This window comes from Homo sapiens, chromosome 1 (assembly GCF_000001405.40).
Source record: "Homo sapiens chromosome 1, GRCh38.p14 Primary Assembly".
Classification (NCBI taxonomy): Eukaryota; Metazoa; Chordata; class Mammalia; order Primates; family Hominidae; genus Homo; species Homo sapiens.
Window position 1 is genome coordinate 61141492 of NC_000001.11, and position 26007 is coordinate 61167498.

Consider the following 26007-nt stretch of genomic DNA (forward strand, 5'->3'; position numbering starts at 1 on the left):
TTAACAGCCCTTGAAGGGGAGGCAATACTGTTAAACTTGATAATTTCTAAAGAGTTTTGAGCTATTTAGCACGAAGTGATGCCAAGAAAAAGGAATACTAACATTACTCACAGCAGAGGGAAAAATTTTATATCCTTTCTGAAGGCCAAGGTTAAGTTCTGTGTGACTCAGCACATTGACTTTCTATATGACCCTAAATCCCTTCTATTTCCTGATCTACTTGTCTTGACCTGTTTCATTTCCACACCAAAATAGTTTCATTAACACAGCGATCATGCTCAGGAGATAGTGGCTAACTGATGTAATTAACTGACATGTCAAAGGCTATTGGTTTATTGCATATGCAACTGTCTTTCCTGGTGGGAAGATACAGTTTCTGCTGACATAATAGGTATGCAAACATGCCAAATTGCCCAATAATCTGCCCCCGTGATGGTGAGGTGTTTGCGGCCATTCTACTTACAGGAACAGAATGGCGGATCTGTTACTATGTTCTCCTAAAATGCAGCTGGCCAAAGGTGCTAATTGGTAAACAGTTAAAATAGAAAGAAGAGAAGGCAATTCAGTTTTGGGCCTTAGTGAGTTTTTTTTCCTTTTCTTTCCTTAAAAAAAAAAAATTGTGCTTTTGGCATGCTAATGCATGCATTTAGTCTCTGCAAGAAATTTCCATTTAAGAAAGAATTTAAAAACATGAAGTGCTCAATCCATATCTCCTAAACAACTAAAAAGACTGCAATTTCAAATGAGAAATTATGTTGCAAAGAAGAAAAAAGTTGTTTATTATGGCTCAAAATTTTAATCACCCAAGGGCTGTAAAGTTAAAAATAGACAATTCTGCCTTCTGTTTATGGTAAACTTGGCTGAGTCCCGGCAAATTTCAAAGCTGAACATACTGTATGTTATTTTTGCTTAATTTTAGATTCCACATTTTAAAATTATTTCTTACAAGAAGCATATTTCAGGATATAAACTTAGCCTGAAGAACAGTATTCTTGATTTTTGCCCATATTGAAACTCCTTTGAAAATAGTAAACTATGGTTTTGGGATTTTCCTATTCCCAAGAGTCCAAATGGGTACCTTTCTAAGTCTTTTACATTATGAATGAACACAGGATTATGAAATTGTAAAGGTTACTTTCTGCTCTCTAATTCCTTTACTCGTAATTTTAGTTTTCTTAACGGTATAACTTGATGCAAATATATACACAGTAGATACTAACTTTCACTGAAGTGTTTTCGGGAGGGAGGGGCACTTTACAAGATGTGTTGCCTTTAGTTTTTCCGGTAAGGAGACAGGAAGACACAGACACAGGCTCTTAGGGCACATGGAAAGCGCCTGCCCCTGTGCCAAGAACTTAAGAGAGAGCCGGGGATGGACCCTCCTTGCTGTGGCTCCTGAACAGTGCAGCCTCTCTTCTGATGCACTCACCCTGGCGAGGAGAACCGCTTGTGTGGCGACTGCTTGGCCCAAGAGCGAGTAGGATTGTTGACTCAACTCTCTTCGTGTCTCCTCAGAGAGGAGGAACACCTGGCTTCACCTGTTTACATAACTCTTGTTGATTCTTGTCCCTAAGCTCTTCCAGAATGCTCTTTTGGGCTTTTCCTCAAAAGGTTTTTAGAAGAACAAGCTTTTTGGGGTGGCAAGAAATTTAGGATGGAGATTTTTGTTTTTAACCTATTAGTCAGCGTGGCATCAGAGAACCACATGTGCCCCACAGTCAGTGGCATGCTCAGTAAATATTTGTTGAATATTATTTAAGTGAATGACTGTTTGCTGAAGAACAAGATTTCTCTGATGACCTTGACAAACGTATGTTTGTGATTAAGTTAATCATAGCTACCACTTAGAACTTCTTACTCACTAGACATGTAGCTGAACACTTCATATGTCATTCTGCTTTTTGTTTTTTTAAAGACAGGGTCCCTCCCACTCTGTCACCCAGGCTGGAGTATAGTGGTGCAGTCTCAGCTCATTGCAACCTCTGACCCCCAGGTTCAAGCAGTCCTCCCACCTCAGCCTCCCAGGTAACTGGGGCTACAGGTGTCTGCCACCACACCTGGTTAATTTTTGTATTTTTTTGTACAGATGGGGTTTCACCATGTTGCCCAGGCTGGTCTAGAACTTCTGGACTCAAGTGATCTGCCCACCTTGGCCTCCCAAAGTGCTAGGATTACAGGCATGAGCCACTGTGCCTTGCCTTCATATGTTATTTCTGATCCACTAGGTTTGGAACCTATCCCAGGACACCTGGCCATATAGAGTAGCTATATCGAGTCTATATTCAGCAAGTGCAGGGTAAGCTCTGATTCCATGGTCCTTCCAATATGCCATACCACCGAGGTTGAGAAAGGTGGTGTTAACAGTACCCATACGTTGACATAAGGCCTCTGAGAGGCCAAAGGATATGCCACAGTATTCTTTAAGGTGCTTAAGCCCTTAATCATGAAATGTTTTCCTAGGCCACAGTAAGAATCTACTTAGTTTACACACAATTCTAATAAATCCGGTTATCTGTTTTTCAAATACAAAGCAGATTGATTCATTCAGCAAATATTTTCTGAATACCTATTATGTGCCAAGTAGATTGTTCTAGATACAGTGAACAAAAAAGAATCCTTGCTCTGACAGAGGTGATGTTGCAGATTAATAGATCAGTGGTTCTCAAAAGTGTAGTTCCTGGATCAGTGGCATTAGCATAACATGGGGACTTGTTAGCAGTGCAAATGTTGGTCCCCACCCCCGACTTACTCAGTGAGAAGCTCTAGGGGTGGGGCCTGATTTTAAACAAGCCCTGTAGATGATTATGATGTATGTGAAAGTGTGAGAACCAGTATTCTAGAAGATTTTAAACAATTTGTGTTCCTATGGCAGATAGCTCTCTGGAGAACTTTGTCTCCTGATTCATTCCCAGACTACCGTGTGTGTGTACATGTGAGTGTTGGGGTCTTACCTTATAACGGCATTTAGTGATTGGCAAAGCTCAGATGCTGGGCCTCTATGGGGCAGAGGCACTTGGACATTTGTACCTAAGGATGTGGGCCCTGGAGTTACATGTACCTGAATTCAGATTCTTACTTTGCCAAGCACAGCCACAAGAACTTGGGAGAGTTAGGAAAACTCTCTAAGCCTTAGTTTCTTCATTGTGCAAATGAGGTTGACAGTAATAGGACCATACCTCCATTTGTAGCATGGCTACTTGGTACAAAGAAAATGTCCAGTAACTAGTAACAATTGCTTTTCTCTCTCCAGGATCCAGCACCTGGCCTGGCACAGGGTACATGCTCAGAGAACAAGTCTTTGAAAGAATGGGTAGATGTTTATTTTCCTTTGTATTAGCCATTAGCTCAAGGTCTGCAGCTACTTAATTCCAACCTGGGTCCATTTTTAGCAGAAGAAAAAAGAATAATGGGACTCAGCATCAAGGCGCACCTGACACAGAGTCCTCTTGGAAATGTGTGACCTGCCTCAGTTTAGCCACTGCTTTTACTTCATCCTCATCAGTCAGAGTATGACATTGCCTTCCCCTTTACCTCTTAATTTTGGAATATTTCAAGTGCCTCTAAAATTTTATTTAATTAAGGGGCTTCCAAATCTGCTTGTAGATATTTTATTCTTGAAATGCTTGTGGCATTAATAGTAAATCAGAATCAGACCTCCACCTATTTTGTGCCATTTCAGCACTAAGCCAAGGAGAAAAATTATTGAGGAAATTAATGCTTCCCTTAAGCACAGTAGGAACACGAAGCTAACATACTGCCGTATAACCTGATTTCACTGGTATTCTTTCTGAAATTTTTGTTTTTCTATTTCTATTGCATATTGGACTTCATGGCTAAAACAAAGTGCAATTATGAGGAGGATGTTTTCTCAAAATCTGTAGGGTCTGGTTGGTCACATAACCTTTCAGAAGAAACATTATCTACTGGATGACTTAGATGTTATTCACCAATAGATTATCAAGGTTTATCTCCAGATGTTCATTAATTCACTAAGTATTAATTGAGTATCTACTATGTGCCAAGCATCGTCCTAGGTGCTAAAGATATAGCAGTGAATGAATGGGACAAAAGTCTCTGCCCTCTTGGTATATACTTAGTTACTTTCTTTTTCACACATGGGCATGTGTGTAGGTGTCTCTGGAGTAATGCGTTATATGCAGGTGTTGAGCCTAGGGTGGTGTTGGGTGCATCATGGGCACTCACATGTTAATTTCCTGCACTGTAGATGATTGCTGATTCTCAGTGATATAATCCAGTCAAACCATTTGGCGTTCTTCTGCTTTAAATTTTATTGGTGAGGTTTAACTCTTCATTAATGAACGCTGTCACATTTTCTCTCTTCTCTGACATGTCCTGGTGCCCTGGGTTTGTGGGGTCAAGTCACTGCCGATTTAATTCAACTCTTCTTTGTATGACTACAAGTCCTGTGTTTTAGTTTCCTATTGCTGCTGTAAAAAATCAACATGAACTTAATGGTTTACAGTAACACAGATCTATTCCCTGATAGGTCTGGAGGTGGGGAGTCTCAAATCCAGTGTTACTGGGCTGAAATGAAGGTGTTCCGAGGACTGGTTCCTTCTGTAGGCTCCAGGGGAGAACCTGTTCCTTGGGCCTTCCAGCATCTAGAGGCTGGCTCTTCACTGCATCACTGCATTTGAGCTCCGCTTCCTTCTCCTGGACCTTTGACCCTCCTGCCTCCCACTTAAGGAGCCTTCCAGTTGCATCATTGGGCCTGCCTGAATAATCCAGGGTAATCTGTCTACCTCAAGATCTTCAACTTGATCACAGCTGCAGAGTCCCTTTTGTTGTATTCATGCATTCTGGACATTAGGATATAGACATCTTGGTGGTTGGTCATTGTTCGGCCGATCATACCTTGTGAGAAATTCCAGTGTCCCTGGGCTGAGCTGCTAAGGAGCAGGTTTTATTGAGCAGTCTTTCCCATTCTATGAAACCCAACCCAGGAGAAAACGCTCTAAAATGCAAATGTTGCTAACTTGGCAGAGCCTAATTATATGTGCACAACTACCTAAAATTTTCTTAATAATTGCTCTCTGTTCCACAAGACTTGGCTCAAAAACCCCTCCTCCAAGGAGCCTTCCTGAATTTTCCTGGGCTTGTATAGTACTCTGTGTTTGTGATTCTGTGTCACGCTCTGTGTAAGTGACTCCATGATCAAAGCTTTCCTGTTGTAATTGTGTGGATTTACTTGTTGCCCACTGTCCCCATACCCTCCACCCCCACATGGTGTGCTTTCTCCAGAAAGGGACTACTTCTGCTGACCACACAGAAGACGTGTGTAAAGTCTGTGTATCAATGAATGGATTCTCATCTTTCATAGTTTTTTTTTTAAATAGTTTTATGTGTGTTTAACTTAATTTCACTTAAAAAGATATTTACCAGAAGCTGAAAGTAGGGTGTGATGAGGTTGGGTTCAGGAAGGACTGGTATCACATGGCTTCCCTAAGTTGTATATTACATTGTTAGGACACCTGACAGAGCTGTGGATTAGTGAATCTTACGGATGGCTCTTTTCAGTTGAATATAATTCTGAAGCTCTGCACCATTCTTCCCACTGTGTTGCTGTTAATCTACCATAAACCAGGTAGATTCTGCATAGTTGGAAGTGATGGAAATCAAGGTGAATGCCTGATTCTTTAAATCTTTTTTTTTTTTTGAGATGGCGTCTTGCTCTGTTGCCCAGGCTGGCATCCATTGGTGCAATCTTGGTTCACTGCAACCTCCGCCTCCTGAGTTCAAGCAATTCTCGTGCCTCAGCCTCCTGAGTAGCTGGAATTACAGGTGGGCACCACCATGCCTGGCTAATTTTTGTATTTTTAGTAGAGACGAGGTTTCACCACGTTGGCCAGGTTGGTCTCAAACTCCTGACCTCAAGTGATCTGCCCGCCTCGGCCTCCCGAAGTGCTAGGATTACAGGTGTGAGCCACTGCGCCTGACCTGAATCTTTAAATTCTTAAAATCAGTTTTAGTCACCAAAGAAGATACTCTGTAGCTTAATAACTTTGAGTTACTGTAACGGAATCAAGTCACTGGTATTGAGACATTTTTATTTAAAAATTTTAAATTAGAATCTTACTATGTGGAAAAATACGGTCATTGTTGGAAAATCATTTTGCCTCTTTTTAACAGCATTCAGGCAGTTTTTTTTTCCCTTTGAAAATAGACCTTGGTCTGTGTTGTTGGAAAGCATGTAATTTTCATTTGTTTTTTTTCACCTAGTAGTGCTTAATGATACCATGTGAATTTTTATAGTCCCAGCTGCACTGAAGTGTGTGCCCTGAAACTTCGGTTGGATTAAGAAAAGTAGCTTGGTGTGAGGGCTGAAATTGGTGAAATGGGAGAACACAGGGTTGCATCTATATATATTGCAATTAATATTGACGAGTGGGCAGAAGTCCAACATTATCCTAGGGGGTTGGCTAATGTTCTTTGTACACCAATGCAAGTGAGTCTTTTCCCTCCAGGTGTGAATAGTTTAATTTAGTAGGTCGATTAGTAGAAGCAAGGGGTGTTTTCTTGTATTCCAGTTTACATTATACACTCAACATTAACTAGCTGTTTAAGGTACAGTGCATTGTTGAGTAGTTGTGGTACAGGTATCCTGAGACGTTGCTAACCCATCTTGGTATCTCCAGGGCCTGGCATCTAATGTAGTAGGTACTCATTAGCATTTGCAACATGAATAGGAGAATGAATGAGTGGTTGTTGTGGCAAAGTCTCTTAAAAATCCTGGTCCCTGCGTACCTCTGTAGCCTTCTCATCTCCCCACCTTCTAGCAATAATATTCTATTTGTAGCTTGTTAAATACTCCACATTCTTTCCGGCCTTTGGACTTTTGTACATTTCATTCCCTCTGACTCTCACACCACCTTCCCTGTCCCCTATCCCCTTTGTCTGGCTAATTCCCGCTGGTTCTTTATGACTTAGCACCTTCTAGAAGACGTTTTAGGAGGCATCATAGTGGGTATTTTGTTGAAGGCCTGGTTTGTTTTTCATATCTCTATGATAACATATCTCTTTGGGTAACAACAGAGAGCTGCTGACTAGTGGCACCGTTGAAAGCTGCATATCTGAAGCTTCTTTTCAGGAGAATGTGGATCATTTCAGGTGCCTGCATCATTTGCATGTACATCTTCCAAACTCTATTGGTACTTTCCATTTAGATATGGGCAGAACATGATGCTACAGTAACTGAAACAGAAGTTAAGTTAGCAGCAGATTCTCTTCCATTTATAGCATCAGTATCAGGGTAAAATGGGAAGATGAAGGAAAACTATTGATGAATTACCTTTGGTACAGCTGATACTAAAGTGGGTAAACAGGCAAAAAGAAGTTGGGAAATTGAACCATTCTCTTTCTTTTCTTTTTTTCAAAATTAGAGACAGGGTCTTAATTTGTCACCCAGGCTGGAGTGCAATGGCACGATCCTAGCTCACTACAGCCTCGAACTCCTGGGCTTAAGGGATCCTCCTGCCCCAGCCGCATGAGTAGCAAGTGCATGCCACCATGCCTGGTTAATTTCTTTCTTTTCTTTTTCTTTCTTTCTTTTTTTTTTTTTTTTTGGATGAGATATGGGTCTAATTATGTTGACCAGGCTGGTCTCGAACTCCTGGCCTCAAGCAGTCTTCTCACCCTAGGCCCCCAGAATGCTGGGATTACAGGCTTTAGCAACCACACCCAGCCTGAACCATTTCCTTTCTGATTTAACTTAGGAAAGTTTGCTGCATAGTAGGAGCTCAGCTAACATTTGCTGAGGATGAAAAAAATAAATGAACCAAGTTTGTTTTGTTTGCATCTTTTTCCTTTTGCTTTACAATAATATATTTTTTAAAATTCCCTGTCTTTTCTACTACACTTCTTTTGGCCTTCATAGCTCTAGCCCCAGACTATACTTAGTGCTTTTGCTAAGACTGACTCATCTTGTTTGATTGCTTTAGTGATATAAGATTCTTGTATCCATAGGAATGGTGTGAGACTGTATGCCTTTCATGTTTGCAAAAATGTAAACCAGAAGAGCCAGTTATTGGTACCAGTACCAACTAATTCCTCAGAGCTATAGGGCAGTATTAAATTACTAAGCCAGTGTGGAAACAGCATGATCTAATGGAAAGCTAATTAGCCTTTGTGTCAGATGGGTGTGATTCAAATCTTGTCTGTACTGCTGATGGGCTGTGTGACTTTGGGCAAGTAGCTTAACTTCTCTGAGTTCCCCTGTCTCTGTTTTTTCATTTGTAAAATGGAGTGGAGGGGACAATATTAACTTGCAGGATGGCTTGATGATGAGAAATGATAAATGTCTTAGTCTATATTAGATCTTCAGTAAATGGTAGTTGTTTTGACCACTGTTACTGCAATGAGCCAAGGTGGCTATAAGCCCTTCAGTGTTTCAGTAAGGACAAGCTTACAGGTAACCACCAAGATCAGGGCAGAACAGCTGATTTAGGTCTAAACAGGTTCCATCGTGTGTCTTCAAAAAGGTTTTCCTTTTTTTCCTCTGGAGAAAATTCAGACTGGTTTAAGAAGGAAACTGAGAGCCTCTTCCCTCCCTATGTTCTGAGTGTTTCAGAGATGGCCAGAAATGGATACTAGTTACTAAGCAAGACCTTTAAAAAATACACGTTACAAGGCAGGTTGGTATGAAGGAAAGAGCACTGACCCGTGAGTTATTCTCGCGGGGCCAGGCTCTGCTCCACTCAGCTCTGTGTTCTCTGCCAAGTCCCTTTAGATCAATGTGTCGCATGTCCCCCCATTGTGAGTTGAGTACATTGGACCAAAGGATTATAGTTTGTTTTCTTCCCAGGCAAGTGCCTCCTCCTGATGGGGAGTTAGTATGATGTGGGTGGCCCCAGTAGGACTGGGCTGGTCTTACTGTTCTAAGAAGTGTTAGCAGAAAAATGGCTAGGCATTGGAGTAACCCTGTGATTTGACATTTTGGGGCATCCTTTCATGGTACGATACACCTGGCCAAAAGTCTCCCAGCTCAGAAATTCTATAACTAGAAATGCTTTGAATAAATATATACTGAGAAGGTATTTTGGGGGGAAATTTTAAAATTCTTATCTGACTTGGCTAGAGCAACTGCTTACGACACTGGACTTCTTAGGGGTATCGATAATGGTTGTCTTTGAATGGGGAGTGGATTTCTCAGCTTCCTGGGAACAGCAACAAAATTCCCCCAACAAACCCCAGGGTGTCTGAAGCGCCTGCTTTCTTCTCAAAGAGCCCGATCGAATACTCTTCTGTGGGCTCAAGAGCTATCAACAGTATTGAACAGTTAGACTAGAAGGATGGGTTGAGAACAGTTGCTCCCTCAAGGCTTGGAAATTAACAAAGACCATATTAGTAAGAATGGGGAGGGAGGTGGGAGGTGAAGAGAATGAGGGCTGGGAGGAGCAATTCGGAAGTGGAGAGGGTGATTGGAGGGGTTTGTTTCCCAGACAGTTTTCAAAGAAGAGGGATTTGTGTAGTATGCCATGGGACTGAAGATGCAGTGCAAGACCAGTTGATGTTCTTCTTTTAATCAACCAATTAATTTCTCTATCATGTTTCTTTTAGGCTAACGAAGTGTCTTCTTTCCTTTATCATGGCCATTGATAGCAAGAGCTTAAGGGAATCTTGCCTCCCTGGGCTCAGGATAGGCTGGAGAGAAGGACACACATAAGAGGAAATTGACATTTTGCAGTTTTTGTTGTTGTTGTTTGTTTGTTTGTTTTTTTGAGACAGTCTCCACTCCGTTGCCCAGGCTGGAGTCCAGTGGCACGATCTCAGCTCACTGCAACCTCTGCCTCCCAGGTTCAAGTGATTTTCATTCCTCAGCCTCCCAAGTAGCTGGGACTACAGGCTTGCACCACCGTGCCTGGCTAATACAGCTTTTTTTTTTTTTTCTTAATTTTATCATAGGTAAGGGAAGACGATCCAATGTGCAGAGAAGGCTCAGGTTTTCATTTTAGTCTGCGGGTGATTGATTTCTTTCTTTCAAGGGGCTGGTTGAGGAGGTCAGAGTCTTAGAAAGGGAGAAGAAATCAGGGAAAAGGAGAAAAGAAGGAATGAGATTTATGACCCTCTGGATCCCAGATTTTATGTCGCGTAACCATTCCCAATACTGGAAGTTCATGACACCCTGAGAAACAGCCCTGGAACTCAGAGCAGTGATCTGCATGCAAAGGCAAAATTAAATAGTCCAGCAACTGCTTTGACCGAGAGACACACATAGTACTATTCTGGGTCCTGAGTGCTGCTTCCCTTTCATTTCTCCCCTAGGCACAGATTCCACTGGCTCACAGAGTGATGAGTTAGACCACCCAGGGCCACTTATGTTATACTGAGGGCGGATGCTGATAGTGCTTATAGAGGAATTATTTCAACAATGAGACTTTTCCATTATTCTTTCTGCAATCACCCTCTATACTCAGAATGTGGAAACCTTGGCATCTCTCACTTAAGAACACTGAATTCATGGTGTTGCTCAGAGAGTCCTGTCCTGGTTCCATAACACTGTGATAATAACTGAAGATCTTTAAAAATGTATGTATCTTCCATTTTTATTCCATATGGCCCCTTAGGTAACATGACCCAATGGGGCCATTAAATGACCCTGCCTACACTTGGATTACTCAGTACAAAGCAAATTTATGGTTGTTTATTCTCTCCTCCTATCAGCTATTAGTGCCTAATCATATGGTCTATCGATCATGAGATTAATCGCCTGCCCAAAGAGGCAGCAGGTCTTGTGGAATGCTGCACTGCGCCAGACTGAACTTCAACCTTTTATACAAACTGGAGGAGTCAAAATCATCATTCACTGCCTGAAATCCTTGCACCCTGGGCCTCCTGCACCCCAGGAGGTAAATCCCTGCTTTTTCAAACAGTGTACTTTGCACTTCCTTTCCTTGTGTAAAACTTTACCTCATTGATTCAGGCAGGCACTTGTAAATAAAATCCTTTCCAAGGCATCCTATAAATAATGATCTAAGCTGAAAATATGTGGGCTTTATTATACAAAGCCCCATAGTGCTGCCATAATTAAAGGTCTGTCAGTATTTCTATTATAAATTCTCATTTTAGAAGATTTATCACTGGGCTATTAAAGTTTTCTCTAAGACTTTCCAAGAGTATCATGATCTAAGGCCTTTTTTTTCTTTCTGTGGAATGTGTTGCTTTGAAGATATAAAAAATAAAGTCCAGAAACATTATCACATAGGAGTACACACATGCAGAGATTGGACACTTTAAAATTTGAGCTCTGCCTCCACTAAAGTGGCTTCTGTTTGCCTCTTGTGTTCTCATTGCATTTATGAGAACAGAGAATCATTGTAGGGCTAATACTGTATTGTAATATTTGTTTCCTGGTCTGTGTCTTTTACTCTGAGGAGAGAGAGGGCAGGGAGTTAAATCATTTGTCTTTCTGGCCCTGGTTCCACCAGAGGGCCTTGGCAATATAAGCACTGGGTTTGTTCAGTAAATGAGCCCCAGGGTGAGAGTCAGGAAATTTTCTTCCTAGTCTTCATCTAGTCATTAAAGGTGAGGAGTGAATTCAGGCAGTGAATTTAGGCAAGTCCCTTTACTTTCCTGAAAACAAGTTTTCTGATCAATGAAACGAGTGTGTTGAGTTCAGGGCTAGTAAATCTGTTTTTGGTGGGTTGAATACTGCCGGCACAGTGTTTTCAAACACTTGAATTGGAATGTCTTTAGATGGAATCTGTGCCTTCTAGTTTGCCATAATCCCCACTGTTCCCTATTATATTATGTTGTATCAGCAGCCTGCTTCTATCATTTGCCTGCAGAGTCTATAAGCATTTATGATTCCTTGTAATTATTGATCATGTGGTCTTTTGTTGCTATACTAAGGGTCTAAATCTGATTCAGGTTAGCCGTTGATGCCTTTGACTGTAACTGTAATTCTCTAACTTTCAACCCTTTTATCATCAAGGACCTCAACTATTATTTTTTGTTCCATATTTGAAAACTTTTGGTGTTCCAGACACACTGCATTGGTTAATAACTAATTTTCCCGTTGTAAAAACAGACACGTGTAACTGAACACACAAATGAGCCATCAACAGTATGAATATAAAAGTGTTTGTGCAATGAGTTGGTTGACGTTTCAGCTAGCTTGTTCAGTTGTTTCATGGGTAAGTGTATAGTTTTTGTTTGAAGTTTTGATATATGAAAAATAGTTCCGAGGTCTTCTGCCTTATTAGACATGTGATAGACAAAGGATTCTAGGTGAGAACTTAGTTTATTCTTTTATGAGTTGCTGAACTGCCCTGGTCATTAGAACATCAAGTAAGTTGTTTATCCACATGCAGTTCATGTCTTTTCAGTTGTCTCCTTATTGGTCAGCTTAGAGAGGGCTCTACAAAACCTGGCTTTTACATTCAGTGAGCTGAAAAGAGCTTCCTATATGAGTTTACCCAAAGGCCCTTGTTACATTTTCTCCCTTTAGTCAAGAGTACTTTGGAATTTTACATTTTCTCCCTTTAGTCAAGAGCACTTTGGAATTTGTTAAAAGGATTGGGAGACAATTTGAAAACTTGGCTCTCCAGTTAAGAAGAATCATTTTTTACACTTTAACTCAGACTGTTGGTGAATATTGTAAATTGACAATTTAAAAACACACATTTGTTTTATTTTATTTTATTTTTTATTTATTTTTGAGGTGGAGTCTCACACCGTCTCCCAGGCTTGAGTGCGTGGTGCGATCTTGGCTCACTGCAACCAAGTGAGCCTTGGCTCACCGCCTCCCAGATTCTCCTACCTCAGCCTTCCGAGTAGCTGAGATTACAGGCATGCACCACCATGCCCAGCTAATTTCTGTATTTTTAGTAGAGACAGGGTTTTGTTGTGTTGGGCAGGCTGGTCTCAAACTCCTGACCTTAGGTGATCCGCCCGCCTTGGCCTCCCAAAGTGCTGGGATTATAGGCATGAGCCACCACACCCGGCCTTATTTTATTTTTGAGACAGGGTCTTACTCTGTCACCCAGACTGGAGTGCAGTGACACGATATTGGCTCACTGCAGCCCTCGCCTTCTGGGCTCAAGTGATCCTCCCACCTCAGCCTCCTGAGTAACTGGGATTACAGGCACACGCCACCCTGCCTGGCTAATTTTTTTGTATTTTTAATAGAGATGGGTTTTGCCATGTTGCCCAGACTGGTATTGAACTCCTGGGCTCAAGCCATCCACCTGCCTCACCCTCCCCAAGCGTTGAGACTACAGGCAGTGAGCCACTGCATCTGGCCAAACATACATTTAAATAGAGCAGATGAAAGATCTATAGTGTAGAAGTAATCTGCATATAAACCAGTCTTAAATTGAGACGTGACCTATGACTGTTAAAGCAGTCCACATCACACAAAAATAAAGGGCTTGGAAGATAGCAGCCTGGTTTAACCAGGTTAGATATAATTTAACAGGAAGAGATAGTGTCTACATTGTTGCTAAAAGCTTAGGCTCTGGGGTTCCTAATTTGGGTTTAATTCTGTCTTGGTTACTTGTTAATTCTGTCACCTTGGAGTGGTTCCTTAAATCTCCCTAGGCCTTGGTTTCCTCATTTGTAAAATGGGGATAATAATGGCTTACCGTGTGGAATAAATTAGAGTAATTCATACAAAGGATTTATCATCATATTGGTTATAGAAGAAACAATGAATATTCATGATCATTTTTATCAAGAATATAATTGAAATATATTTCTGAGCGTTGAGGTTTTTCTCTTAAAGAAAAGTGTAAAGGTATACTTTCTTAAGACTGCTCATACATGCTGGATCACCCATATACATTTCCAGGAAATTGTATGTTCTAGCAATTCTATGTTCCAAATGTGCTGCTTTCAGTTTTTTCGAGAAACAAATGATGTTTGACTTTAAAATTCTAGAGTTGGCCGGGCGCGGTGGCTCACGCCTGTAATCCCAGCACTTTGGGAGGCCGAGGCGGGTGGATCATGAGGTCAGGAGATCGAGACCATCCTGGCTAACAAGGTGAAACCCCGTCTCTACTAAAAATACAAAAAATTAGCCGGGCGCGGTGGTGGGTGCCTGTAGTCCCAGCTACTCAGGAGGCTGAGGCAGGAGGATGGCGTGAACCCGGGAAGCGGAGCTTGCAGTGAGCCGAGATTGCGCCACTGCAGTCCGCAGTCCGGCCTGGGCGACAGAGCGAGACTCCATCTCAAAAAAAAAAAAAAAAAATCTAGAGTTGAAATTTTTCTCTTACATTTCCTTTTCCCTCTAGATCAATCCCAATTAAAGTTTCATTGCAAAAGTTTCACAAACTCATATTGGCATTAATTATTATTGGTGTGCTGGTGAAAGTCCTAAAGTGAGTTCATTAAGAATTAAAAACCTTGGCTGGGCGCGGTGGCTCACGCCTGTAATCGCAGCACTTTGGGAGGCCGAGGTGGATGGATCACCTGAGGTCAGGAGTTCGAGACCAGCCTGACCAAACATGGTGAAATCCCGTCACTACTAAAAATGCAAAAATTAGCTCGGCGTTGCGTGCGCCTGTAGTCCCAGCTACTCGGAGGCTGTGACAGGAGAACTGTTTGAACCCGGGAGGCGGAGGTTGCAGTGAGCTGAGATCATGCCATTGCGCTCCAGCCTGGGCGACAGAGCGAGACTGTCTCCAAAATAAAAAGAATTAAAACCCTTGAGAAAACTTTAAACCCTCCTGGACTCATAGAGCTGGAGGGGACCTAAGAGGTTATCTCCTCTAAGCCCCATTTTCCAGATAAGGAAAGTGTATTTTCCAAGGTAAAATAAGTTTTCAACAGTGAATATCCTTCATAATGGCTTTTTAATTTGTACTGTCACTGGAGTCAGCCCTCATTTGCCATGTTATGATTATGTTCTTCTTGTGGGACTTGTATGTATTTATTAGAGACCATTGAGACGTAGCACTGGGCATTACTTTTGTGGCAAAGGCACCAGGGCAGTAATCATTATTAATGGATTTCATTATTTGGGAGAGCATTTTACTGACTATAGAGAATTCATTGCATTGATCTATTGTGCCACAGTTTTATTATACCGGGTAGTTTAAAATGATATTCTCTAAACTGTTAGGCTGAAAAATTGTCCAGTGTTGGCAGTTATCCCATCAGTAAGACATTCCTTTTACTACCGAAAATACATAGTTCTGTCGAAAGAGACCTTTTGACTGGTCCCCAGTGCCCTGACTGTGTTTAAATCCCTCACTAGTGAAATAGGAGGATTACTACTGCCATCATTGTTCTAAAACAAACTTCCTTTTGGAAGATAACAGCAGCGGTAAATCAGATGTTGAAGAAAGTACCAGCTTAACTTCACTTTGCTTTAAAAGGGTTTCCTCTTTAATTGACAAGTGTCATGTATAATAGGGCATGGCAACTCACATAGTAAACCTTGTGTGGGGCTGCCTGCTGGGGTTGGAGTTCTTAATGAACATACAAGTGAATACACTGAGGCAAAAAAATTAAAGCTCTCCAACTGTGGGGTATTCATTCTGTTCACTGTGGCCAGTGTGGTGATCAGTACTGGCCACACCAGTGGCCAAAGAGAACTGCATTCATCATGTGGCTGTTCTATAGCTGTGAGCTGTGGTGACTGTTATTTTTCCTAGTGATAGTTTTCAGTGACAGCATAGATTCTGGTATCATATCCAAGGAATAAACAAACACTGTTTTTGGCTTTTTGTTTTTTTGTTTTTGACATAAAAATAATAAGCTATTTTTGGCATATGCAGACTTTTCACAAAGTGATTGTTTTCTTGAGCTCTGGACTACTTGGTAACATTCATAAGTTCCTTCACTTTGTAGCTCCCTCTTTCCTTCCCTCCACTCCCTGCAAAAGAGAGCAGAACTGATTTTTCAGAGGTGATGTTTACAACAGTTCAACACACTCGAATGAGCACTTAGAATAATGTCAATAGAGGAAGAAAAAAAAGGACATATTATTATCAAATTAAGTAATGGATGGGCAGTGATATTTTATTTATTAAAGCTTGTCTGAGTACCATTGGAAACAGAGTATGTTGGTTCTGAAGTGCACAGATTAGAAAGGAATGTTGAGTTTGGAAACGTGGCAGCCTGCAGCACTGTGTATGGTTTAAATTAAACCTTTTTTTGGAAAGCAGAATAGCTGTAGGCCACATTTAAGGGAAAAGCCACAGCAGAGTGAGCTGGCTGTGGTTTTTCTTTTACTCTGTAACCGGCCCACTTTCCCTTGTTTTAACACAGAAAAAGACTTTGGACTCCTTCAGACCAACCACATAGCTTCTCTGCTGACCACAAAAAGGAAGCTTGGCGTAGAAGCCATAGGATTAATACCCACTGTCTCTTAACCCAACAGAGTGTGAAAACTTTCATAAGAGATTTCTCTGGGCAGACTGACACTGTGGTTGGACTTTAAACATTTTAAATCAAGCACAACTTTGAATTGCATTATGCCACAGTGCTCTGTAAATTGTTATGTGTGATCCCACTGTTAAAAGTTATTTACATGAATCCCCAGGTTTCAGAGGGATAAACCACTAACAGCTTTGTGTATCTTATAAAGAAATACAAAGAGAATTAAAGGTATGCCTATGACACATTATCTCAGATAGAGTAGGTAGATCATAGTCAGATTTTATTATTCTTAAGCAAATGGAGGCAATTGGCTTTTGGCAGAAAAGCCTTTTCATCTTTGAAAATAATAGGATTAAGATTGTGGATTCTGTTAATCACTTGATCAGCTTTATTAATTAACCACATTTTTAAATTAGAAAAAACCCTTTTTACTAGATGTGCATCTTTCTTAATAATTTTACATTGCAGGTTTTATTTAATATACTGATCTACTCAGGTATTATAAATGGTTGTTTCTATGTCCTGCACATTAATTTTAATAATTGGAATCCTACTACCCTGATTTACTAATCATGCATTTGTACAAAGCAACTCTGAAATGACCAAAAATAACCACAAAAAAACCTTTTGTGTTTGTATTTATATTTACTCATTCAGATGCCTAGGATTAATATGTTTTACAAGAAATCATTTGAATTTACATCTTACCATGTTGAATTAATCAGCTTTTCATAAGTGCACTGTCTCAGTATTCTGGTTTCTATTTAACAGAGAATCTCAATGGAAGAGATTGATTTGAAAAGTTGAAGGAAAAATCGTGCATACATGTTTCAAAACTGTGGTCTTACAGTAACCACAGAGTTAATTCTTGGTTGACTTTATGTCGCGAGAGGGGTTGATTTGCTGTCATTAGAGAAATTGGTCTGTATAACACTTCCTGTATGTGAAGAAATGCAGTTGTCATCATGCCTAGACCATTAAAGCAGTATTTAAATACTTCCAGTTGTGAGGAGCCATGCATTTATTTTGGTTATTTTCCCAGGTGTCTTAGGAGCAGCTGTTTTGTGCTTTACTGAACTTAATAGTTGAAGAATGTGGGAAAGAAATGGTGTACTTTCTGGGTAAAGTATTTTAGCCACCCTGGAGTAGTTGCATTGCATCTTGATCTTTTTTCATCTTGGTAGAATTATACTGTAACTAATTGAATCCATTGATCACTGTCTTGTTTTTTTTCCATCTTCTTCTCCGAGGATTCATTTCATAGGGGTCTATACATCAGTCAAGAAAATAGCTACCGAGGAATTACCGAGACTAGTAATAAAGGTAATTTAACCTAGTTTAATATTTTTTTTAAAGGCAAAACACTGTAAACATTTTTTACCTGGTGAGAGTTAACTTCTTAATTAGGCCATGTTGGAAAACAAATCAAAAAGACACTTACTGGTAGTTTTCAGAGAGTGAGAGAAAAAAAGAGGCAAGAGAAAGCATTGATCTTGGAATTAGATGACCTGGTTTCTAGGCCTATCTACCCCAATGCTTTTCAAACTTCAATGTGCATACGAATCAACTGGGGATCTTGTTAAACTGCAGAGTCTGAATCAGTATGGTTGCAGTGGGCCTGAGATGCTGCATTTCTGACAAGCTCGCTGAGACATCCCTGCTGTAGAACCTCTGACCACACCCTGAGTAGCAAGGGTCTGCTTTACCACTTAGCTAACTTTGTGGCTTTGGGTATACTGTTTAACAACTCTGCATCTCAGTTTCCTAATCTATAAAATTGGGATATTAATCTTTGTTCTGCCTACCTCATTGGGTTGTTATGAGAATAAAATTAGATAATGTAGATGCTTTTTTTTTTTTTTTTTTTGAGATGGAGTCTTGCTCTGTTGCCCGGGCTGGAGTGCAGTGGCTCGATCTCGGCTCATTGCAACCTCTGCCTCCCGGGCTCAAGCAGTTCTCCTGATTCAGCCTCCCAAGTAATTGGAATTACAGGCGCCTGCCACCATGCCCGACTAATTTTTATATTTTTAGTAGAGACGGGGTTTCACCATGTTGGCCAGGCTGGTCTCAAACTCCTGACCTCAGGTGATCCTCCTGCCTCGGCCTCCCAAAGTGCTGGGATTACAGGCGTGAGCCACCGCGCCCGGCCTGTAGATGTAATTTTAAAGTGTCAAATAAGCATAAGGCAGCAAGGACATTTGTTTATAGATACAGACATTCTTTGGATACCTTTCATCAAATCAGTGTGGGCTGTTCTTTAATAGGAGGGGCCTGGAACTGTGAGGCAGGAGAAGGGAACTGGAATCCCTGCCTCCCTAGTACCCATTCTGTGCCTTTGGCCAAATCATCTCCCCTGGTCCCCTGTTGCGTCATCTTTAAAATAAGGGCTTGACCTAGGTTAGTGCTCTTAAAGGGTAGTTGCAAGACTAGCAGCATCAGCATCACTGGGAAACTTGCTAGAAATGCAGGTTAGATTCCTAGCCCCTTCCGAGACCTGGTGAATCAGAAACTCTGGGAATGCAGTCCAGCAATCTGATTTCTAATGAGCTCTTCAGGTGATTCTGATGCAGCTAAATTTTGAGAAACTTTCTGAAGTGTCATCCAACTTTGAAATGAGATATTTAAGCCTTCTCTTTATAGGTTCAGCCAACAGAGAGCCTATCTGTGTGATCTCTAGACACTTTCCCATCTCCCAGGTAGAGGAAGATTGGGGAATTGAACCTTCTGTGATTGTATTGCATTGAGCATGTGGTAAGGAGGACTGAACTTGGACGGTTAAAACCTCACCTCTCTGGAACTCGGAATAGATTATAATTGCATTGACTTACACTGGTCTAGCTTATCCAGTTTTGGGGCTGCTTTAGTAGCCCACAAACGCTGACTAATGCAGATGACTGTACACACTGAGAAAGTTCTCTTCCATTTTAGTTTCCTCCTTACTCTCTTCCTGTTCCCCGAATGGTTGTCATCATGATATAGCACCAAGTCACATTTTATAGACTTTTCAATAACTTTCTAAAGTTGATCACAATCTAGATTATTTGCATTGTTGTGAGATGAGGGAAACTGAGAAAGTAAAATACATGTTTTGTTTTGTTTTGAGACAGAGCCTCACTCTGTTGTCCAGGCTGGAGTGCAGTGGCACAATCTCAGCTCACTGCAACCTCTGCCTCCCAGGTTCAAGTGACTCTCCTGCCTCAGCCTCTTGAGTAGCAGCGATTACAGGCACTCGCCACTATGCCCAGCTAATTTTTGTATTTTTAGTAGCGATGGGATTTCACCATATTGGCCAGGCTGGTCTCGAACTCCTGACCTCAAGTGATCCGTCCACCTTGGCCTCCCAAAGTGCTGGGATTACAGGTGTGCACCACCGTGCCTGGCAGTACATGTTTTTCTTAAAGTCATTTACGGTTACGTTTCCTTTATCTGCAGTTTTTGTTTGTTAGTTTGTACATTTGGAAATACATCTGAAAACTTACCAAGTTCAAGCGCTAGAGAGCACAATCTTTATGTACAGAGAAGACCTCCTCGATGAGGTCTAACAACTTCTGTTCTAGACACAAGTCTGATTTTTCATTCCAGAGCAGCAAATAAAGTCATAGTGGACAGCTGCTTCAGTCTGGAAACTAGAAACAAACAAGAGGTGTTAGCTGGCAGCTGAACAATGAAGAAAGACATGGAGACACTGTCCAAGAGGTCGAGATGGATAGTAGCTTGAGATCCTCTCTTTCTCTCTAGACATGCGCCATGTGCAACACACACACACACACACACACACACACACACACGCAGACAGTCTCTGACTTTCAACGGTTTGACTTTATGATGAGTTTATCAGGATGTAACTCTGTCACAAGTTGAGGAGCATGTGTTTATGTGTGTATGTGTATCCGTATACATTTACATTTATATATACACACACACACACCCCTCTATAATCCTGTATACTTAAATTCCTAAATAGTTGTTTGGGTGTTCACTATATTGGAACGCTTTAACTTGTGTTCTTAATAATATCTTTAGGAAAAGATTAAAGCATGTTTCTGCATATAATAATATTAGTAACAAATGATGGAAGATTTTGCTCCAAAATGAGTTAATGTAGAAAACAGGTAGTGATTAAAGTGGTGAATGTAAGCAATTTTGTAAATTTATAAAGTCATAGACATCTGTAGTTATGAAGGACCTCATAGATAATTTTCTCCAGTGGTTTCAAATATTATTTAAATAGGAATGTTTCCTTCAGGACCAAATCTGTGGAGAAGCTATGTACATGTATTTATTTTTTTAAGTTGAAAAGTATGCGAGTACTGGATCCATATTATTAATAACTTTGGCCCACCTGTTCTTTCTCCCAGAAGCAGCCCCAGTTGGAATCAGCCCCTAGAGCGAGGAGTCACCTGGGAAGCTTGTTACATGCAGATTCTGATTCTGTGTGTCTGGGAAGGCACCTGAGACTCTGCATTTCAGATAAACTCCTAATGTGTTAAACATGCATTGGCCACATTTTGAGAAGCAAGGCCCTGGGGGAAACTGTGCACGTAGTTCGAAAACCTTTGATGGGTTAACTTCTTCATGTTTCAAATGTGAAAAGACAGAGTTATAAATGATCTGCCAAAAGCCACATGCTTACCTGGGGTCTTGAGTCTTGGGAAGGCTGTGTTCTTTTACCCAAGGCCTGGGTGGGATGGCTGTGTCCTTACCCTTTGGGCTGAAGGAGGCATCCTAGTACCAGGGTTCCACGGGCACTATCCGTATTCTTAGTTTCTATCATGATAGATTATGCTGGGAACTTGTTCCTTTTAGCCCACTATCTGTCCCATGGAAAACAGTACTCTGAATCAGACCCCATGGAGGGTGGAACATTCTGATTAGCCAGCAAGGGCAGTTAGGCCCGTAGCTGTGGTGTCTGCTGCCACAGCAGAATGGATAAGCAGTTCTCAGCCACCACCCCCCACAACATAATCCATAAAACTCTTTCAACCTTTTTTTTTTTTTTTGCATGTCTAGTGTTTGCAAATGGAAAATGGCTGAGGAAAAACAGAGTGAAAGTTTATATAAAATATTTATACCTTAAAGATCTTTTATCTTGTGTCATTCAAGAGAGAAGTGAAAAATGTATTGGGAGTACATTATCAAGAGTACATTATAAATTTAAATCTCAGATTGAATAATATCAGCTGCTAATGTGTGGAGCTTTGGAAATGAGTCACTTTTGAATCTCAAGAACTTAACTGTACCAGGTCAGTTACACTTAAGAAGGAAGTGCCTTTTGAAAAAAGAAAAATCCTATACCGGAATAAAGACTTATACTAATGGGCATTAAAGATCAAATACTTGACATAATATTCATGTTAGAATGTAGCTACATAGGAATAAGTTGTAGGATCTGAGACACTTTATGGAATGTTTCTCAAAAACAATCAAATAATTTTGGTCTTTTCTTTGTGAAGCAATATAACCTGTGGTTACGAGTTATGTGTCTTAGAAAGACTTAGATTTGAATTCTCTGTCTGCTGCTTGTTAGCTGTGCCATTTTGGATCAGTTCTTTTCTTTGAGACTCACTTTATTTTAAAGCAAAGTTAATATACCTACCTAATTGGTTTTTTTTGTAAAGGATTAAACATCATGGTATTTGTAAAGCATTCAGCACTTTGCCTAGAATTTTATAGTTCCAGTAAATAGTAGCTATTTTTATCATTATTGTCACCATGATATTGTTTTTAGACCTAACTAGTATTGCATCATTCTTTGGTGACCTGGTGGTGTGCTATGGAAGCGAAATTGGTGTGCCTGTTGAAAAAGTTAGTAGTCAGAAAAAAAGACATACTTTTATAAGTGAGACTGTGACTATTATGCTGGACACCTGCATTCTAACTAGCAAAACAGAAAATACTTTGTTGGTTTTAATGGTGCTTTGTTTTTATACTGCATGGTATCTATTTTTGTATGCTGGGGTCTTAAAATGCTTGGAGCATCTAGAGAGGTAACTAAAGGAATGAAGTAGGCCATAGACATAGCAACAGCCCATGTCCCATTGAAAGGCCATGAGTCCCAGTTGAGGCCCCTTGGCTCTAGCCAATTGGTGCTGTGTGAAAATCTGGGCCCAGTGTTGTCAGTTCTTTTAATTTTTTCCTAAGAATCTGGAAGTGCAGATTTTTACATGAATCATAGGATGCTTTAAATAATTGCAGCTGTATCTTGAGAATGCTGTTGGCTGCAAGAAAGAAAAATTTTAGTTTAACAGTGGTCTAAACAAAGATTTTTTTTTCTTACATAGCAGTGAGTCCAGCAGTAATAGCTAGTGTTTTTATTTGCTCACTAATACCAACAAGAATTTAGACACTTTCCATTTTTCTGTCCTGACATGCTTCATTTGTTGACTTGAAAAAAAAAAGTGCTTGTCATTTATGGTTGCCATATGTATGTTGAAGGTAGGATAATGAAGGAGATACATTAGACTAGCCTTATTTATTCCATTTATCAGGAAAGTGAAAACTTTTCCAGAAACTACACAGGAGACATCCCTTATGATTTACTGGCCAAAACTGGGTCATTCTGGCTGCAAGGAAGCTTGGGAAAATGTCTCAAGCTTTCTTTTTTTTGTTGTTATGTGTTTTTTTTGTTTGTTTGTTTGTTTTTTGGAGATGGAGTATTGCTCTGTCGCCCAGGCTGGAGTGCAGTGGCGTGATCTCAGCTCACTGCAAGCTCTGCTTCCTGGGTTCACGCCATTCTCCTGCCTCAGCCTCCCGAGTAGCTGGGACTACAGCCGCCCGCCGCCACGCCCGGCTAATTTTTTTGTATTTTTAGTAGAGATGGGGTTTCACCATGTTAGCCAGGATGGTCTCAATCTCCTGACCTCATGATCTGCCCACCTCAGCCTCCCAAAGTGCTGGGATTACAGGTGTGAGCCACCACGTCCAGCCAAATGTCTCAAGCTTTCTAGCCTCTACAGTGGGAGATGGTGAAGAAGTGGGAAATCATTGTTGCACTTACTAGTGAACAGTTGCTGTCTGGCACAGCAGCTAACTCAACATGAAACCCAACTGCAGGACCTGAAGACCCTGTGGCCTGCAGTATTTATCAAAAATCTTCAGATTGGGGATTATAAAGTGAAGGTATCATTTGGGTGGAAAGGAGGAGGGTCGGAGAGGCAGCCAGTGCTTTATTTTTTTGTTTAAATGGTTTCGTATTATATATACGATAGGTCATTGCTAACAATGTGCAAACTGTTGAGGGAACATTGTATAAATTTATTTCTTGGAAAAGTTTATTTAGAGTTTTAGTGGAGAAGCTAGAGAAGAAAATACCATTTAATGTTATTTCTGTACTGCTATATTACATTTTAATATATGAATTACTCTATTTTTTAAAAATGATGGATAAACTACACTTCCCTTTAGTTGTTTTTATTCTGAGATAAATGCCTGTTTTGTAAATCATTGTTACCTGATTTTGGTAATCTCTATTAGAAAGAAATCTCTTTTTATTAATATCTGTATACTTAACTCAGACACTGGGAAATTCTTGCAAAATGCTTTACAAAAGCAGCCATTTTAAGCTGATTAAAAGTATATTCTATATGCATGTATGTAGTTGAAGTGCTACCAAACCACGTATGTATTTAGTTAACTAAACTCAAGAATCATGGAAGTTTGAAGAACTCCAAATCACAGCTAAGAATGCACTAAAGGAAAACCATATCTGTTTGACTCCAGCAAATTGACTCGTGTGATATTTTTGCTTACACCTTTCTGCAGCTTAACTGCTGAGTTAGCTGTTCTTTAATGTCCTTGACAAATTCAGGAAGTCATCACATGTAGATAAATTGAGAAAAATATTTCTGCCAATTTGGTCCTGATCATTTCTTCTTGGGGTTATAAATTTGGGTTTTCATGATCTAGATGTTAATAAAAAAGAACCCCAGATAATCTGAAGGGTTACTCCTCAATATTACTATGATAAGTTTAGGGTCTGTGAGTTGGCTGCCTACTGAGTACCTAAAAGCATGGGAACTTTTACAACATATAATCCAATACGTAATCACTTTGTCAGGCTGAGCAAGTTAGTGGAATCTTTAGTAATACTACGATAATTAAATAGTTAAGCTATAGGATAAAAGGCAAAACTGTTTTATTAGGGAAGACTATGCTTAGACAGTCTTTTAGAATGATTGAAAGGGTATATAGATATGAGAACCAGTCTGCTATTCCAAATAATCTAGTTAGGATTAAAAATAAAAATTTTGTCCAGATGCTGTATGAAAATCTACTTTATAGTAGGATTATAATTATTGCTTTGTTTTAATAGGGGACTCTTAGAGACAAGGAAGAAAAGAGTAGGGAAACCTATTTGTATAGGAAAATATAGTACATTTCCATTCAATATCTACCTATAATGTGAGAGATTATGCCAGACGCATTGAAATTGCTGTCTTTAATCTTCATCCCAATCTTATAAATTAGCTTTTGTTACCACTGTTTCCTTGATGAGGATGCCAAGTCCACACCAAATGACTTGCCTGAGATATGTATTCATTACATTTTGGAGTTGAGCTTTGAACCCAGCTCCGTCTGTGTTCCATACTCATTTCTTTTCCCTGTATCAGAAGATCCACCCACACTGGCCAACTGAGAAGAAAAATAGCAGATGGGCTTAAATATGGGTAAATGTATGATAATGTACTTAGTGAAGAAACACCTACCAAACTACTTATAGTTTATAGACTCTTAGGTGTTAATTTTAACTCATGAAAGAAACCTGGGAGTCATAGGTTTCTTTCTTAAATATGGGTAAATATATGATAATGTACTTAGTGAAGAAACACCTACCAAACTACTTATAGTTTATAGACTCTTAGGTGTTAATTTTAACTCATGAAAGAAACCTGGGAGTATAGGCTCTCTCAGCATGATTATTGTCTCTTCCCTACAGTCAATTCAGGAGGGTTTATTGAGGACCTACTTTGTGTGAGGATAAATATAGTGTTCTTGTACTTAAAGAACTTACATCTTTTCCTTCCTTCTGGCCGGGCGCAGTGGCTCACGCCTGTAATCCCAACACTTTGGGAGGCCAAGGCGGGCGGATCACAAGTTCAGGAGATCGAGACCATCCTGGCTAACACGGTGAAACCCCATCTCTACTAAAAATACAAAAAATTAGCCGGGCGAGGTGGCACACACCTGTAATCCCAGCTACTCGGGAGGCTGAGGCAGGGGAATGGCATGAACCCAGGAGGTGGAGGTTGCAGTGAGCTGAGATCATGCCACTGCACTCCAGCCTGGGTGACAGAGTGAGACTCTGTCTAAACAAAAAAAGAATTTACATATTTTCCCATAAGACATTTCTTATGTTCCCATAGTGAGAAAAATAACCCTGTAAAAACCTCTTTAAGCAATATCTCAATCTGTATGGCAAGGAAGATAGATGAGTGTACTCATGTATGATCGTGTACTGATTTGGAGTATGTTTTGGAAATGAAGACTAAAACTTTCACTTTAAAATAAGGTTACTTTTCTCTAAAGGAGGCATTTTCTTTGTAGAGTCATTATGATATTATTTCATAGCTATTAAAATTTGCTATCTTGATGCTTGGTTATTCACTGAAAGGAATGAAATATTTATTAAGGTCATATTACTGTTGTGTACAAAGGGAGCCACAGGGT

The 26007-nt window shown here is 40.3% G+C and overlaps 1 protein-coding gene across 4 annotated transcripts in view, besides 2 other annotated features; it reads left to right on the forward strand.

The window, feature by feature from the left end:
• Positions 1-26007, forward strand: part of NFIA (nuclear factor I A) — a 385562-nt gene that overhangs the window by 64265 nt on the left and 295290 nt on the right. The gene's annotated exons all lie outside the window — the stretch shown is intronic.
• Positions 96-240: an enhancer, noted in NCBI's record as "145 bp enhancer 286 fragment used in the MPRA reporter construct; PK_construct_3408". NCBI's record gives its function as "activates an SV40 promoter by MPRA in HepG2 cells {active_cell/tissue: HepG2}" and the evidence as "EXISTENCE:reporter gene assay evidence [ECO:0000049][PMID:23512712]".
• Positions 163-173: a transcriptional cis regulatory region, noted in NCBI's record as "NFE2L2 motif; enhancer activity is reduced when this motif is scrambled". NCBI's record gives its function as "necessary for full MPRA enhancer 286 activity {active_cell/tissue: HepG2}" and the evidence as "EXISTENCE:site-directed mutagenesis evidence [ECO:0005528][PMID:23512712]".